At 44.8% G+C, this 12,888-nt stretch overlaps 1 protein-coding gene across 10 annotated transcripts in view, besides 6 other annotated features; it reads right to left on the minus strand.

The window, feature by feature from the left end:
- Positions 1-12,888, minus strand: part of ETS1 (ETS proto-oncogene 1, transcription factor) — a 128,794-nt gene that overhangs the window by 6,097 nt on the left and 109,809 nt on the right. The gene's annotated exons all lie outside the window — the stretch shown is intronic.
- Positions 4,683-4,842: an enhancer, noted in NCBI's record as "active region_5716". NCBI's record gives its function as "activates an Ori minimal core promoter by ATAC-STARR-seq in GM12878 lymphoblastoid cells {active_cell/tissue: GM12878}" and the evidence as "EXISTENCE:reporter gene assay evidence [ECO:0000049][PMID:35858748]".
- Positions 4,893-5,012: an enhancer, noted in NCBI's record as "active region_5717". NCBI's record gives its function as "activates an Ori minimal core promoter by ATAC-STARR-seq in GM12878 lymphoblastoid cells {active_cell/tissue: GM12878}" and the evidence as "EXISTENCE:reporter gene assay evidence [ECO:0000049][PMID:35858748]".
- Positions 5,313-5,362: an enhancer, noted in NCBI's record as "active region_5718". NCBI's record gives its function as "activates an Ori minimal core promoter by ATAC-STARR-seq in GM12878 lymphoblastoid cells {active_cell/tissue: GM12878}" and the evidence as "EXISTENCE:reporter gene assay evidence [ECO:0000049][PMID:35858748]".
- Positions 5,373-5,472: an enhancer, noted in NCBI's record as "active region_5719". NCBI's record gives its function as "activates an Ori minimal core promoter by ATAC-STARR-seq in GM12878 lymphoblastoid cells {active_cell/tissue: GM12878}" and the evidence as "EXISTENCE:reporter gene assay evidence [ECO:0000049][PMID:35858748]".
- Positions 6,291-6,410: an enhancer, noted in NCBI's record as "active region_5720". NCBI's record gives its function as "activates an Ori minimal core promoter by ATAC-STARR-seq in GM12878 lymphoblastoid cells {active_cell/tissue: GM12878}" and the evidence as "EXISTENCE:reporter gene assay evidence [ECO:0000049][PMID:35858748]".
- Positions 7,413-7,707: an enhancer, noted in NCBI's record as "tiled region #15716; K562 Activating non-DNase unmatched - State 23:Low". NCBI's record gives its function as "activates a minimal TATA promoter and a strong SV40 promoter by Sharpr-MPRA in K562 cells {active_cell/tissue: K562}" and the evidence as "EXISTENCE:reporter gene assay evidence [ECO:0000049][PMID:27701403]".

Raw genomic sequence — 12,888 nt, forward strand, 5'->3', positions numbered from 1 at the left:
GCATCGTTGTGCTTGCTCCTAAAATCCACACCCAACCCTCTGCTGTAAGGAGAGGCACAAGTGGTCTTACGGCTTCCTTTCTAATGGTGCAGAAAAAGTGCTCAGCAAAGTACTGTGACTTTGCTCTGAGCCACGGTTAGCGAAATGGTGGTTCTGGGTCTAGTACCCAGGCCTTTAGACTCAAAGGACCAGGGCAACCTCCAATGAAGTAAAGAAACAGCTACTGACACGAGCTATCATCCCACAGCCAAAGGAAGTCCTCCTCCAGTAACAACTTCCTAATGGTGGTTTCCAAGGCTCCTCTCAGCACTTGCCACGCTAAATATGAAAACATGAAATAGCTCTACCTCCTCTTTCTGAGAATGGACCATTAGCTCTTTAAAACTATCTTGCAAGAAATACCTTACATGTATTCCACAATAAAATGGCTCAGTGAATGCCTATAAAATAAAGTAACATTCGAACAACAGCCCAGAGGGCCGCACTGGTAAAGCCGTAGCTTCCTCTGTTTCTACTTTCATTCAATAAAAACCGTTTCGTATTCAACTCAGGGACATTTGCAGGTTTCTTGGGAGTTGCCTAAAGTCATGAGCTACTTGTTTTCTGCCTGGGCTCACAAAACTAACCGTGACATTCTCAGAGGAATCCACTGAGAAGCCATCCTAACAGGCACAAAGAAGTAAAACAGCAAATCGCTCTCAAGAAATGCAGCTGCCAGAGCCCTGGTCACAGAATAGGTTTCTTGGAGAAACTCACGATAACTATAGAGACTGAAGAGAGACATGAAGAAAACCATTCTATCCCAAAGCTATGTAAAAGAAGCCTCGGAGGAGAGGGGGTTGCCTTAGACCCTGACAGAGAAAAACTAATGAGTGCTATGCTTGACGGTGCACCTACTACGCCGCAGACACTGTGAGTGACGCTCTACACTCGTTTCCTTCATTCCTCCCAATAATTCTGTGGGGTGGATGCAACTGTTGTGCTATTTGTTTCTACCACTTCACAGCAGAGAAAACTGACACACTGCAAGGCCATTTAGATCAGCAGTGGAGTAGCCGGGACTGGAACCCATGCAGCCCATCCCCAGGTTCTTCATCTCAATGCTACGTTGCCCCTGGACAGGACCAGGCCAAAGGCCTGGCATCTAAACTGCCTGACTGAGTGCAATGTTCCAAGGGATAAGGGGACCTGACTTGAAAAACTCTCTCCCCTACTTCTCACAGCAGTTGCAGGACACGGGATAGCCAGTGGTTCTCCCAGTCATCCGACCACCAGTGGCCGTGCCAGGCCCCGCCATGGCATCCACCTCCACAGGAGATATTTCCAGCATCCTCTTGTGGTAGCCATTATGTTACATTACTTCATTGTTTCTCCTTCCCAATGTTCACCTTTGAACCTCTCTCCCACTATCTGAAAATCTCTTTGGGGCACGGGGTCTCATGACACCAAGCCGAGGAAAGGGATGGGAAGATCGAGATCCTTCCCCCGGATGAGTCTTTGGCAGGGAGCTGTCAGCACATCTGCTGGTGCTGGAGAACAGGGCCCAGGAGCACACTGCAGTCTCCTGCCCTTGGGACTTGGCAGCCACAATGCAGAGAAGGGACCTTCAATTCCCGTGGTTTGCACCAGCTCCCAGAGGACGAACCCTCTGACGGAATGGTTAGTTTTCCTTTTCTACCAGTGCATTTTCCAAACTGAAATGTCAAGCAGTCATAGGCTGTAGATGCCCTGCCCTGCCCTTTCTCTGTGATGTCAGCATACGGGACCCGGTGAGTCTGGGACAGGGTGAGTACTCGTCAGAGGACTTTTGTCCTCATTGTGACTTTTCCTTTGTTCAAAAGGAATGAAAGAAAAAAAAATTAAATTCAGGCCCTAGAAGCCCAAGTCCTAGGTGCAGAGCTCTCTAACTCTTTTTTTTTTCTGTTTACACCCAAGGAAAGAGGGAGGATAGATAGGAAAAGCAGATACCTAAAGAAATAATGGGAATATGAATGGGAAGAAATCTCTCCCGTTGGCTTCATAATAGGACAGTCAACATAACAGAGATGTCAGTTCCTGGCTCCCTCCCCCGATTCCTGTAGAGAAACCCCACAGGCGCACTCCAGCCTAACTGGTGCACACAGGGCTCACCCTTCAGAAAGCCCACATTTTTGTACCAAGTGAGAGGAGTTCATGATGGCCGCTGAAGCGTCCCCTCTAGCACCTTTTTGCTGACTCCTAAACTGCCTTTTTGTTGTGGGGAGCAAGAGAACTAGGAAAGACATGGAAATGTTCTTCCAGCCAGAAACACTGGGCCAGGGTGGGCGCAGTTCCTGGCTGGGCCCGTGGATGGTCTAATACAGGAGCCTGTCTCCACAGCAATGCATCACCCTCACTTCAGGTCTGGGAGGGGACTTCAGGGCCACTTGGAAACCCAAAGCTTAGAGGCAGCTCTGGGGTTGGAAGGCACACTGGCTACACAGATCCACCAGCGACACCCACATCCAGGCCCATCAGAAGTTCTCACACCCAAGATTGGTGCAGACAATGAATGAGTCCAGCACTCCCAGTTACGACTCTTCTAGAGGGTGTTTCTGTGTGCTTAGCGGAGGTCTGCCCAAATCCACAGGGCTCCAGGACCCCATCCCTTGCCCTTGCTCCAACATATCCTAAACTTGTAAAGCCTCTTCCTCCATTCCCCCTGCAACTCCCCCTTATCCCTGTGCCCAGCCTCTTCCACCTACCCAAATGGACTGTGGTCTCAGTGACCTTTGTCCCCTAGAGCAGAAAACGGTACTAATAATAGCGCCAGTCATGGGAAGGGGAGCTCACATGTTCAATGTGACTCATAATGGTGTCCCTGTCTGGGATCTCCAAGGCAGTCAACAGCACCCTTCACGATGCTGCCCGGGAGTGTCACACATCAGGAATCCAGTGGCATCACTGGGAAAGTATGCTTCTCAAGTCGAAGCTCTGAGCCACAACAACAGAGGGGTCCCTGTTAGAAGGAGGTCTCTTTCCAGAGCCATGCGGGCGGGAGAGCACCACACACACACTCCACACACCCATCTCCCATGGCACGGAGCCTCCACACCCCCTGCTGTCTGCTCCCTCTCCACCCTCCCTCTCAGGCGGCTGCAGGGGAATTTCCTTCTACTGCTTTGTTCTTCTCAGCCTCTGGAGAAGAGGACAGTTCTTACTACACACTGACAGGTCTGATTTGAAGAACGTGCTACAAGCTCTGAAGAAGAAATACCAGGTAGGAACTTGGAGAGCTCCCAAGCCTACAAAGCAAATCACACCAAGGATGTTCACCCCCTAAGGGGACCCCCAAGGCTCCTCAAATCTAAGGCAACAATCTCACTTTTTAAAAAAAGTAAAGCTTCAAGTAAATTACTGCTCATTTGGGTCATATTTCCTTGTCTGGGAGCTGCAAGGCCCACTATCTGTCTCAATGAGGAGCTGGTTATTAAAAATCCCCTGCTATTCTGGTCCCTTGCCCTGAGGCTGAGAACTGAGCAGCATAAATACATATATAGCAATGGGCTAGGACAAGGTGTTAGTAACATGCTCTTGATGGAAATCCCTTCCATTTCCCGATTTGTCAGTATCATTCTTCTCATTTTCCAGATCTGGGAGTTGCCTGCCTGTGACAAGGACATCCTCACAGCAAGTGAACAGGGTCAGGTTGAACTTCACTTTTTCCTTCTACTCCTTCCTCATTTCCATTTCAACCACAAGTTCTCACTCTTGTCACCTGTGCTCTGCTGAGAGGAGAACACAGGAGTTTTCTTCCAAACAGAAGGAGGTCAACGCTGGGCAGGCACCTTCCCAGGCAGTCTCCTCATATTTCCATAGTACATGGCTTACACCAAGACCACCCCATTGGTTTGGTCTCTGTCCATTTCTCCCATCACTAGAATATATGCTGTAAGGACAAGGACTTTGTTTTTTCACTGCTTCAACCCAAAGCCTAGCACAGTGCCTCACCAACAAACACCAACAAACAAAAAATTCTTTGCTGTTGAATGACTGTGTCATTTGACATGTTCTCCCTGAGAACACAGACTATATCTTACTGAGCCATATATCCTCAATGCCAGGTATGATAGCTTGTCTTCAGCAGGTACTCATTAAATATTTTCTAAATTACATTACTGAAACAAACCTCCTCTGAAGAAAGGCATATGGATTAGAAAGTCCGCTCAAATGGCTTCTCTCTATTAAACAATATTTGGGGCCAAACAATATGGGTGACCCTCAGGCTGCATTTCATCAACGTGTTCCCAAAAATGAAAATGACTACCTGTCCTTTGGGAGTTAATTTGCTACTTTAAGAAGCTAATCCCTTTAGCTCTATTCTAAAAGTCAAATCAAATACCTCGGTGTGGGCAGGACACCACATTTATTTTAACCTATGAAACTCTCATGGTTGGTCACCCTTGCAATAGGGCTGACTCTGCCCTGATAGCACACATCTGGCAGGTGGCCCTAAAACAGAGGAACAGGCCTGCTGGCCCCTCCCTTCCAGCCAGGTGTCTCTACCCACAGCCAAACGATGATGGCAAAAACAGAACATTCGAATCCAGAAATGACCCATCTGTTCACAAGTGTATCAATCTGCCTTTCATGCTACCACAGGAGGACGCACCTCTGAGGGTGGGGTGGGTGACTCCCCAGTCCAAGCATCACCCCTTTCTGTCAACCCTCTTCTAAATCACCATTCACAAAGGCCCCTAAATCTCCTGATTTCCATTAAGTTTAAGGACAAAACAGAAAACATCCTGACAGTTTCTTGGCCTCTGGACCAAGCTCAACCTGAAGCTGCACAAAGTCTTGTTGCCTGAGGATGAATAACTCAAGAAACTGTATTGCTGGACTGACTGGCAATCAAGACCCTGAGAAAATTATTTTAAGAAGATTAAGGGCCAGGAGTGCTTGATATTTTGGCTGAGTTCTATGTCTCTCATTTCTTCTGAGTTGTATATTTTCTTTGCCCCACCCTGACCCAATCTTATCTCATCTCTAACACACTCCATGTATAACATTCTATAACTGGCCAATACGGCCGTGGTTTAAAGACTCACTCTGTGTCAGTATATTCTATAAACGTGTTCCTGTATCAGTGGCTAATAACTCAAGGGCAGTGATTGGGAATATAACTTCCAATAATTCAACTCAAACAACAAAGAACATTCTGACAGGTGTTTGGAAAGCATACTTGCTGAACACGATGATGAACAAACAACAACTTTATAAACTTGTATTTGTTGCTGAGATAGCCAGTATCTAACCATGAAAAAGAGTGAGAAAACAGCTCTCAAATCAGTTAAAACCAGTCTTTGACTGCCGAGTTCATGTCTCTTGCATGTTAGATCAAAAACGAAAGGAGGAGGAGTGTCAAAAAATTTAAAAATAAAAGCCATTTTACATGTCAGGCAGTGGAGTACTGAGTGATGACGGCATCCTATAAAATTAAAATATATGATGCCTGTGGGAAAGCCCCGGGTAGGGAGTTGAGGGTACGAGGCTTTGATATCAGTTCTTACCTGAATCACCATATGCAATCTTATGCAACTCATTTAATCTCTCTGGGCTTTACTTTTTCCTTTCCTAAAATGGAAATAGTAATCTCTGCTTCTCTTTAGTTTATAAAAATGTAAATTAAGTCCTTATTACAAAAATCTGCATATATACATATATATAGACAGAGAGAGAGAAAGACACTTAAAGAGGTGAACAATTTAGGAGCAACTGAATATACAATAATGGAATTACAAAGAAGAATGAAACAACAGAAAATATATTTTTAAAAACAATTTTCAGTAAAAAACAAGAAAAAAGATGCATTTAAAAAAAATTGTAAAAGCACTAGAAAAAATCTAATTAGACTTCCAAGGATTAAATTGGCCTTCGTATGGCAACTTTGAAAAAGTAGAAAGTTGGAGGTTAAGGAAAAAAAAGTTACAGTATACGAATGTAAAAATTTTTAATATTTTCAATGAGAATAAGCATTTAGGACTTTTTTAAGTTAGGGAAGACTCTGAAATCCTTGTTCCCATGTTAAAAGTGCACACGCACCAAAAGAGACAGCAGATGCAAACTGCTTTGCAAGTGAAAGTATCACAGGCATATATGGTTTAGGGAAATCTTGGCCACAGATGGACTTAGATCCTCTTTTCCCGATGCACCTTTTTCCTTAGTTATTCATGTCCCTCACCAAGTATTCTTCACCTAAGTATTGTATAGAGCTCACCTAGAGCAAGTTCAACACCGTTCCCCACAAATGCCAATAGTTTGGGCCCAAAGAGACGGGTCCCACCAGCATTAACTGGGGTTCAAGCAGAACCTCTTGTCCAGCCATCAGGGCCCAAGACAGGCTTGACAGCAAGACCAGGTGGCTGGCAACTGGCCAGTGGAGTCCTCCCACCTGGAACAGGGTTAAGTGAGGCTTATTTGGCCAGTCTGACTTGGGTCTGAGAACAAGACAGTTACACATTTTTAGGGTATGAGGGAAAGACCTTTGTTTTTGCTCTGGCTCTGCACACCTGCAAGTGCTCAAGTACACATGTGTGGGGGCGGCAGCAGGAGAAAGGGGACTGTTCCTCTCTTAAAGGGGCAGTCTCTATTCAAATGCAACCACCTCTTTCTTCTAAACCCATCAGTAACTCTGTCTAACACATTCAAGCTAACACTCAGACACAAACTTGGACAGTGAGCCAGTGAAGCTCAAGTCAGGAAGTGGGTTTCTTTATAGCTCTTTCCTCCTGATGTCTTCTAGGTAACCGGTTCTTTTAAGAAGTCACCAGAGATGGGTTAGGTTTGGATTTGGGGGAAGGGGATAAGAATTTTGTTATAAACCAAAGAAAAGGTTTTTCCAGCCACTATAAATGTACAAAGAAAAATCTTCCTAAGTGTGTAGGTAATGAGAAGAAAGAAAGATATGTTCACTGATCAGGGTTAGAAAACAGGACTTTAGAAGTCTGAAGATTATAGTCTTTTCTCAGTAGGATTCTCAACTTGCTCTCTGGAATTTATTTTATCCTAGGGGTTAAGTTTTCCCTGCATGTCAACAATGAGAGAAATCACTAGTTAGGTATAATAGAATCCTTGGAAGGTAGTTGAACTAGATCCTAAGTGATCATTTGCACACCGAATTTTGTAAGCATTTATCCAGCATATAATCTCTGAACACTCCTCAAACGTAGCCAGAGTGTGTTGAATAGCAAAACACAATATTAACAACTGCATGGAGGTAGCGGAACAAGTACTTTTTGTTTCACCATAACGTGATAAGCTGAAAGTGTCCTACCTACGCCTTTAAAGAAAAAAAGAACAGAGAACCTAGCCTTGAGAGGCCTCCATAAGAAACTCCACCGCCTCAGCTCTGAATGTCAAACACCTCCACAGACCTGTGCCCTGTGAGCATCTCCAACAAAGCAAGTCCCATCCTTGTTTCAGAGTTTAAACTTTCACATTCAATCACTCTAGGAGAACTTTCACTCTCATTATCTCTCAGGGAGAGGTGAGTCATACAAAAGACAATAAAGTTTGGGGAGTTACAGTCAACAACATGCATTGAACTCAGAAGCCCATCACGGACTACTGAGAGTGTCGGGACACATGGTCTTGAGTCCTGCCACATGGAAAAGCTGTGCTGGTCTCAACAAGCCATGTTTACAGCTCAGGTCCCTGCAGCTGTCACACTACCTGTTCTACTCAGTTCTCCTGCTTCAGGGAACATAATTGACTGGCTCTACCATGTCCACACCAGCACCCCTCATCCTGGGGACTGCTCCAGCCAGGGACTGAGCACAGTGAGGGCATGCAGGTCCACCCCTGTGAGACACAGAGCTCCTCCAGCAGACGACCTTGACCCAAAGATCCCCTGGGCCCAGCCAAAGTTTTCTTAGAATGGAGCTGCAGTTGAGGGCTCTTTCTACCCAAATCTCCTCCTTCCAGACCTGCAGCATGGTCTGAAGGTTCCGCTGCCTTCTCTTCGCTGCCTTTTTTTCCTTCATAGATGCTCCTTCCGTAAACATCTTGCACATCTAATCATGTCTTGGCACCTGCTTTCCGGCACACTCAAACTAACACAGTATTTTGAATATTTTCTGACATGTGAAAACCCTGAAAGTCATCTTATTTGTTGTTTGCTGTGTAACATTGGGCTAGACCTCCTCCTCTAAAAAGAAAAAAAAAAGTCTCGATTCCCTCATTTATACAATGGGCATAACAGAAACTTCCTCATGTGATATTTGGTGAAGGATTTAAAAAGTCAGTGTATATGAAGGAGTCTAAGCACACAGTAGGAACTTAATACATCTGGGATTGAGCTAAATAATTGAAAAGACCTAATTATTATTAAATGCCTGCTACGCCCCATGACACTGCCAGCAATTACTGCAATTCTATAAGTAAAATGCGTTGTTCCCTGGCCTCAAGGAACTTAGAATTATACTGGAAAAATAAAAGGTTTGGAGAATACTATGGAATGTAGGTGACAGCTAGCACTTAGAGCCTAGCTTCCTGTATACCCAGCACTGCTCCAAGTGCTCTCCATAAACTAATTCATTAGTTCTCACAACAAGCCTATGGTATAGAAACTATTATTACTGCCATTTGCAGATGAGAAAACAGATACAGAGATGTTAGCTTGCCAAAGGTTACACAGCTGCTCACTGGCAGGGCCTGACTCCATGCTCTCAATTCTACAGGGATGGCCCCTGAATGTTGCCCTTGGTAAAACTGCATGGGATGACCACTCTTTCTTGTGTTTAACTTGGACTTCTCTACCTGCAGGCATCCCCAAGTGACTGATGGGGTGCTGATGAGTGCTCCAACCTGCAGGCATCACATGCAAGTCACCTTAGGGAGACAGGAAGGGCAGCGCTTCTCTTGAATGAGCCTCTACAAAGAGCAGCAGCTGCTCACTCTCTGCAGCAGGGGAGGCCGTCCAGAGAAAAGAAAGAAGTGCCAAGGGGGCAAAGGCAGGGTCATCTGGGACACCTGGCAGGGCCTTTCCCAACAGAGGTGATGGGGAGTTTCCGAGGCCTGTTGTTTAAAGGCAATAAAGACTGGTGTGGATGTCTCAGCAGCACGCTGGCTGCATTCTGCTCAGTGGAAACATTTTGCTTCCTCCAAAGGTGGAGCTTCAAACTGGAGACAGAGTGGAATTCCAGAACAGTCACCACCCAATTCCATTATTTGTAGTGAGACTTTATTAAAGAAACAGTGACCCCAAAAATCTAAGACTCAGAGACTCTTCCTCTAAAACAGGCAGTGGGCTATACCCAGAATAGAGGGGTCAACCCGTGAGTCTCCTGGTATCCAAAATCCAGGCACCCTCAAGACCTCAGAGAGTTGTAAACAGCACCAGGGTGCAGGATGTATTGTACAGTATGAATAGATCCCTTCTGTCCAAAGACTGCTTGCAAGGTATTACCGCAGCTGAATCAAGACACTAAGATGCTTCAGCCAGTTGTGGTCTTTGAAAGCCATGACAGAAATAGGCAATCACCACTTTCCACGTTTTTTAAAAGACATTTAGAAAAAAAAAAGTTCATAGTGAGGACGAATCTTTTTACCATGTGATCTTTTTCTACTGGTAGCAGATGATTAAGAAAAATTCATACAAAACTAATTAGATAGGAGGCAGAAACAGTGGAATTACTCACAGGCAATAGAAAAGAGCTTTGCCTCCCAACCAGTTCAAATCTTCCCGGGAATTTTCCTCCTCAGTGCTCCAAAGTATTTTCCCGTCAATCACATAACTGAGCAGCATGTGAGTCTATTACTCCACTGAGATCCCCAGGTCCACGCCAGGCACCCCTTTAGGATCCACTGCTAAACCCAGCACCGTGAATGGAATCCCTGCCAGCATCTCAGCTGCTGGCTGACAGGAAGGCTCTATTTAAGCTGAGGGGGCTGCCAGCTTCCTGCAACTAGTTAATCACAACAGCCTCTGAGCAAGAAAGGGAAGACACTCTGTTTCTGCCCTTCTCATTCCCAAGCTCTTTTCCTCTTATCCAATCAGGTACTGCCCAAGGATGGTCTACATTGAGACTGTGATGGCTTCAGCAAGCCTGGAAGCCAGCCCCAGCTTTGCCTGGCCTGCAGACCTCAGTGAAATGCCCTAACTTCTCTGGGCCTGACTTTAGCCAATTCACACTGTCTTACACAACAGCATTTACATGGAGAGACTTTAGATTCCAGAGCTTCGCTCCTGTTATCTCCCCAAATTAAAAGGCTCTACGCTGTTCCTAATCACATGCCCACAGCACAAATTCACACTGCACTAGTAACCTGCTTTTACTCTTTCCTTATCACTAACTTAGGCTCATACCAAAAGTTTCCTCAGTTGTTGTTTGTACCTGAATACATTGAGATTATTTTGCAATCGAGCCTTCCTTCAGAAAACTGTGATTTCAGCTAATGCTGCCAAATCTCAGGTTTCATTCTGAACTGAAGGGCTTTGAAGCACTTCCTTTTGCAGTAAAGTTGTTTATTTTCAAAAACATGTTTTAGCAGTAGTTTTGGGTTACTGATCCCTAAAACTCAACTACGAGCCAGAACTCTAAGGTTCTGGACTTGGCCCTGGGACTTTCTTATTGTGTGACTTTAGACTGGCTCTAGAGTCATCTATGAAATGACAAGAAGAGGATTTATTTCAGGGCAGAATCAACTTGAGAGGACCTAGAGGAGAATGCACAGGGCTTTTTTTTTTTTTTTTTTTGAGACGGAGTCTCGCTCTGTCACCCAGGCTGGAGTGTGCGATCTCGGCTCACTGCAAGCTCCGCCTCCTGGGTTCACAGCATTCTCCTGCCTCAGCCTACCAAGTGGCTGGGACTACAGGCGCCCACCACCACGCCCAGCTAGTTTTTTGTATTTTTAGTAGAGACGGGGTTTCACTGTGTTAGCCAGGATGGTCTCGATCTCCTGACCTCATGATCTGCCTGCCTCTGCCTCCCAAAGTGCTGGGATTACAGGCGTGAGCCACCGCACCCGGCCCGGGGCTTCTTTTCCTGCAAGACTAGTACCTTTGTGTGTGTGTGTGTGTGTGTGATGTCTCACACACACAAAAAAATTTGGAAGTTGAATTCCAGATAGTCCCAAATTTAGCCTTAAGGAAACTGAAGGACTGCCTACTTATAAATCTGCATAACACCATAAAACATAATTTCATTACAGTTAGTGAATGGCTTTGGGTTTAGCCTTTTTCAGGCTCCTAGAAAACAAGAAAATCACTTCATTCATAAATGCAAATCAAAGAGTGAGAACACACCTAGACATTGATAAGGGCATTACCACCAGACCTGCTCAACAACAGCTGCAGAAGTGATAGGACTCCTTATCTGTGGCTATGTCTGACAATCTGGAATGAAGTTCAATAAAGGTGATTTATAGGTCAATAATTCTGGACGGAAGCCAAGGCCAGCTCTCTTCCCTCCCACATACCCCTAACCCACATGCATATAGTGTTCATTAGTGACAAGAGGGAGATAAGGTCCTAATCAGTCTAGGCAGGCAACTGCAATAACCAAGGAGTACTCTCATTATCTAATATGAAGAAAAGATTTTCTATTCAGGTGAGACATTTGGTGCTTAAGATTCAATTCAGAAGCTACCTCTGTGCAGAATGCAATTACATACATGGCCTTGAATAAGTCATTTTTTTGTGCCTCAGTTTCATCATCTATGAAATGGGACTAGAGGGGTTGAGAGGAAGAGAGACTACTATGTGACAACCCATTATATTATTCTATACCTACTGAAATGGAGAAGCAAGAGGAAGAAGAGATGCCTATGTTTTTCAAGGACTTGGAAAGCGTTTTGCTTAGGTCTATAAAATGTATATAGAAAGCATTGGGCTACTTCTCTAGGACTGTGTTGTAATTAGAAGGGGTTCATAATGTATCTTCGAACAAAAGAAAATGGAGCTTTCTGATGGTATCAGTTTGATAACCGTAAACAGTTCACAGTAAGGTAAGAAGGTACATTTTGGCGGAAGCCAACATTGCATTTGATGTATTCTTAACTCAGCTAACAGGCAGGCTTTCAAGCCACGTTATCTGCCCCCGCATCTTGACCTCATTTAACAAGTTGCTATGGGAGCCCAGTGAAGGTTGATGCAATTTTCTTATCTTTGGAGGAAGAATGTAACTGTGCAGGAGAATGTGAAAATTCAGTTTCTAACTGGCTTCCGCACTTACAGTGCAGTAAGAAAGACATCCTATCAAGAAGTAAAATGTATTCCTTTGGACGTGATAGGGACAAAGACCCAGACTCCTGGTGAAATGGCAGGGAGATGGATTCTCTTCCCAGCTTGGAGAATCTAAGCATGCACCCTTTAGTTCAGGCCAAGTAATAGTGACATAGAGCTATGTGTACCCCTACTGTGTGGCCAAACATACTCTGGAGCAATCAAATTTTAAGGGAACAGACAGAAAAGTTGAGCAGAACCTGAGAAGGTGAGTGTGACTTTTACAAGCAATAAAATGTATTGCCAACAAGTCTATACAATGATTTCTGCTTTCCAAAGTACTTTTGCAAATTTCAGCTCATCTTAACATGTCTGCATAAAGCTAGACAGCCATTTATAGGCACTCTAGTGACTGCCTCAGGTGGTGGGTGAGGCTGTATGGGCACATTTCATCCGCTTCCCTATTCCCTAGGACGCATCTTAAATGAGGTTGGCGGGGGCACCATGAGGGTGTGAGATCACCCTCAGAGGGTGAGTCTGCAGTACAGGCAGGAGGTGTTCACCAGGTATCAATTACAGGGAAAAAATAAATACTAAAATGTGGGCTGCTCCTCACATACCTAACAAATCCCAACTTTCATTCAGACCACAACAATAGGAGAATCCAGTTCAAGTCTAAGGATATTTAAAATATCTTGAATCCAAGG

Source organism: Homo sapiens, chromosome 11 (assembly GCF_000001405.40).
Source record: "Homo sapiens chromosome 11, GRCh38.p14 Primary Assembly".
NCBI lineage: Eukaryota > Metazoa > Chordata > Mammalia > Primates > Hominidae > Homo > Homo sapiens.